Source organism: Homo sapiens, chromosome 7 (assembly GCF_000001405.40).
Source record: "Homo sapiens chromosome 7, GRCh38.p14 Primary Assembly".
Classification (NCBI taxonomy): Eukaryota; Metazoa; Chordata; class Mammalia; order Primates; family Hominidae; genus Homo; species Homo sapiens.
The window spans coordinates 84,982,315-84,986,837 of record NC_000007.14 but is presented as its reverse complement, the minus strand read 5'-3'; the positions used below and the strand labels follow the sequence as shown (position 1 = coordinate 84,986,837).

Genomic DNA, 4,523 nt, shown 5'->3' with positions numbered 1-4,523 from the left:
AATATAGTAAAATGTTGAATTTTAAAAAGTTGAGTGCTAGATTACAATTTTAGTACTCTATATTACTGTCAACATAATTGTGTGCTTGAAATAGTTCAAATAAAAAGTACATAAAGGATCTCTATCTCAACAAAAGAACAAATTACTCAGTAGTAAATTCTGAAGACAGAGAGGTAAAGAGAAAAAAGAATAACAGAAATAGTAAAAATTCAGCTATTATACAGTAGATACAGTTCCAGTTGCTCTTACAACATGGACTTTCTTGGATGCCCTGATTATTTTAAAAATATGTCAACTAAGACCTTGGTTGACCTCAGAGATCCAGGAATAATGTCTAGTCTTCAAAGTAACAGCATATTGTTATGAAAATGCCTGAGACATCTAGGATATCAAGCTATTTGCTTAATATTCCAGAAGACTCTGAACAGCTGAGCTGGCCTTTTCTTGGATTGAATACTGTTTAAGGTTTATGTTTAAAATATAAAGTTTATTCTTCCTGGCTTACAAATCAAGTTTATAAACCAACTCATGCTCTTTATGTAACCAGAAGCATAAAGAGAAATATTTACATCATGTTAGAAGTCTTTACATAGTCTCATACATGGTTATTTTCTTAAAGAACGATTCTATATCAATTTAATTTTCACTTTTAATTCGCTATGAAAATTTTATGTGTAGACATAGGCCAAAATTTAGCCCAACATTTTGGACCTTTGCAAATTCTCAATTTTATTGGATTCTGCTAGTGAGGAGCTAGAATATTTAAACAAGTATTTTAGAAGTATAGGGTAGCATATTCTGATAGTATTAATTTAAAGTATAAAAACATAGATAAGGAGAAAATGAGACTAATTTACTAGATGAAAAGTTATTTAGAATCAGGAAAATGGTTGTCTAATGGGTGATATTTCTCTAAGCTTTTAATACATTAAAACAAATTACTGTTGTGCAATTATCTCCAATTATTGAATTGTGTTTAAATTCTAGCTCTTTCTTGCAAGTCATTTTTACCACTGAAAAACAAATAAACAAAAAACTTTGAATCTCCTGTGGTAATTTGTGTTGTTGTAATTAGTCTTTAAAGATATTTGGAAGTAGCCTTCGGTTTCAGTAGCTATGGCCAAAAGTAAGAGTGAGTATTACCACATTTTATTCATGTGTTGAAAATTACAGAAAGTTTGACAAGACAAGGGTCTGATTATTAGAAAGTTGCTTGTTCAGACTATGTAGCAATTTAATCCTGTAGGCAGGGGGAGACATTTTGGTATTTTTAAGCAGAGAAGTGGCATAGTGAGATTTCAGCATTTTCACATGTGAAAAATAAGCATAGAATTAAAAATGACTCCTTGATGTTCCCGGTGTGCAACTGGGTGGATGTTAGTGCCATTTAAAAATAAGAGGAAGTACAGTGGGGGAAACAGGATGGGATTGGGAGAACATGGTTTCAGCATTGAACTCTATGAGTCTGAGATGTTTTGAGGTGTATCTGGTAGGCAGTTTTATACATGGGTTTGGTGTTCAGACAAAATGAAAGTTGGGGTTACTTTGTGGTTTCTGGCCTAGAGATGACAGAAGCAATGTAGTAGGGAATGCAGTGAACATAAACAGAAAGGGATGGTCAACTTGGTGCTAAAATTAGTGTATATCTTGATGTAAGTCAACATTAATTTCTCTCTATCCCAATGAGATGTCTCTAAGGTATTTAAGAGCTTAAAGTTGATGAATTTCCATTTATCAGAAACTAAATTTATTAAGGACTAAATCTTTATTCTTAATATCTACTGCAATCTGTATCAACTAAAAAGTTAAAACTTTTACAAAACAACAAGTTTTCCTTAAATTATGATTTGTTATTATAAAAACTAGTAAGAAAAAATTCCACCACATGAAAGCATTTTCTAAAATTCATACCCCCGTACCTATTTTTAAATACAGTTGGTAAATTGATTAAGCTCTATTTTCATTTTGAATGTTCATCGGTTTTATTTTATTTTTTTTAAAAAAGACATTTATTCAGTGTCACAATCAGACTATTACATTTAATAATCAACAGCATGGGTGCAAAAAAAAAACTACATTAAAACCCTTTGTTGGAATGCTTTACACTTTCCGCAGAATAGAAATTAAAATAACCTGTTATACAGCTAGTCACAAATACAGTCCTCGAGTTTTTTGCCCATACACATGAGTATGTGTCTAAAACACGTCTTCTTTGTAGCAGCTAGGCCCTGCCACCACTGTGCTTGGCTGAGTTCACAAATCTCTTGTAACCTGTAGCTTCCCTGTCACTTCTCTGGCTCTCCTCTCCTGCTAAGCTTTGTTTCCTAATTAAAATCTTCTGCCACTGCCATAGCTACTGCTGCTGCTGGAACTGCCATAGCCACCTTGGTTTTGCAAAGTATTGCCTCCACCGCCATAGGGGCCAGAGCTTCTGCCTCCAAAATTTCCTCCCTTCATGGGTCTAAAATTTGAAGACTGATTGTTGTAATTGCCAAAATCATTGTAGCTTCCACCACCTCCAAAATTGCTTCCATCATTACCAAATCCATTATAGCCATCCCCACTGCCACCATATCCACCAGCACCACGGCTGCCACCAAAGCCACCACGACCACTGAAGTTTCCTCCATGACCAAAGTTGTCATTCCCACTGAAACCACCTCCACGACCACCACTAAAGTTTCCAGAACCACTTTGACCTCTTTGGCTGGATGAAGTACTCGCCATCTCTTGCTTTGACAGGGCTTTCCTAACTTCACAGATGTGGCCATTCACAGTATGGTATTTCTGAATGACAATCTTATCCACAGAGTCATGGTCGTCAAAGGTTACAAAGGCAAAGCCCCTTTTCTTGCCACTGCCTCGGTCAGTCATGATTTCAATCACTTCAATTTTTCCATACTGTTCAAAATAATCTCTTAGGTGATGTTCTTTGGTGTCTTCTTTAATGCCACCAACAAATATCTTTTTCACAGTTAAGTGGGCACCTGGTCTTTGAGAATCTTCTCTTGAAACAGCTCTCTTTGATTCCACAACTCTTCCATCCACCTTGTGTGGCCTTGCATTCATAGCTGCATCCACCTCCTCCACAGTGGCATATGTGACAAACCCAAAGCCCCTGGAGCACTTGGTGTTTGGATCTCTCATTACCACACAGTCCATGAGCGTTCCCCATTGCTCAAAATGGCTCCTCAGACTCTCATTGGTTGTTTCAAAGCTCAACCCTCCAATGAAGAGCTTCCTCAGCTGTTTGGGCTCTTTAGGAGACTCTGACTTAGACATGACGGCAGGGAGAAGAGAGACTTTAACGATGCTTCTTCGGCGGCGTCCACGGGCAGAAAGGTGTTCATCTGTTTTAAAGAAAACAATTACAAACTGATGTGTTTTTTTGTTGTTGTTGTTTTGTTTTGTTTTGTCAAATTGCTTTGACTTAGGTGGACTCAGTGCCATAAAATACACAGTTTCAATCTGATAGACAGGGGGCCCATAGAATTTGTAATAGATGGTTTCTTTAAGCACAGGGACTTTGAAGAGGTCTTTGAAGATGGCTTTAAAGATGTAAATTCATGGCACAGTAAAATAGTGACAGATTTCTCTGACAGCTTTTGGTTAAAAATATTTTAAATTATTTTTTTCATAGTATTTTTCTGTTTTATTTACATTAAAGAGCACAAAGTCTTAGATACAGTCTTCTTGAAAAAATTCTATTAGAACTTTAAATCTCAGTGCTAAATGAGACCAAACCAAAATTATAACAGTTTCTCATCCATTTTCTACCAGTATCTATTGTCTCAAAAATGTAGTTGAATTAGGCATATTGGATATATTTACATATTTGATCTGTTAACAGCAAAATATTAAGTTGGTGCAAATGTAATTGTGGTTTTGCCATTAAAAGTAATGGCAACAACCTCAATTACTTTTACACCAACTTAATAATAAAGTTAATTTCTGTCATTGACTTAAAGAGTAACAATAAAATGCATTATGTATTTTAAAAAATAAAACACTGATATATGAGAATTTTGATTTGAATTTGAAACCAAAATGATACATGTAACTTGATAAACAGAAAACAGCTCTTTTGGACCAGCTCCTCAGAAACAAACATTTCTAGTCATTAATAAAACTTGGAGCTCTTTGCTTTGTGATTACATAAAAACAACAAACAACAAATAACAAACAAAAATCATCTCTTTTGGTTATTTAATATTCATACAGCATCATTTTATATAAGTATACAAATAATTTAACAAAAATATAAAAATTAATATATTTCTGTATGTAGAGAGTTAACTGAGATTTATATGATATAGATGTATATCTATGCAATCTAAGAAGGAAAATCACACTGCCTAGACAATTCTTCTCTATTTTCCATTTACTCTAACCAAGGGAGTGAATAACATAGAGAAGTATTTTGTGGCATCTCTTGCCAAGATGGCAAATTAGATAAAGTTCTGATTTAACCCTAAAGAAATGCTAAAGACAATGTCAACAGGATGGTGTGAAGGGTGATAGGA

The 4,523-nt window shown here is 34.6% G+C and overlaps 1 pseudogene; it reads right to left on the bottom strand.

Annotated features, from left to right (window-relative positions):
- HNRNPA1P8 (heterogeneous nuclear ribonucleoprotein A1 pseudogene 8) lies at positions 1,999 to 3,343 on the bottom strand (annotated as a pseudogene).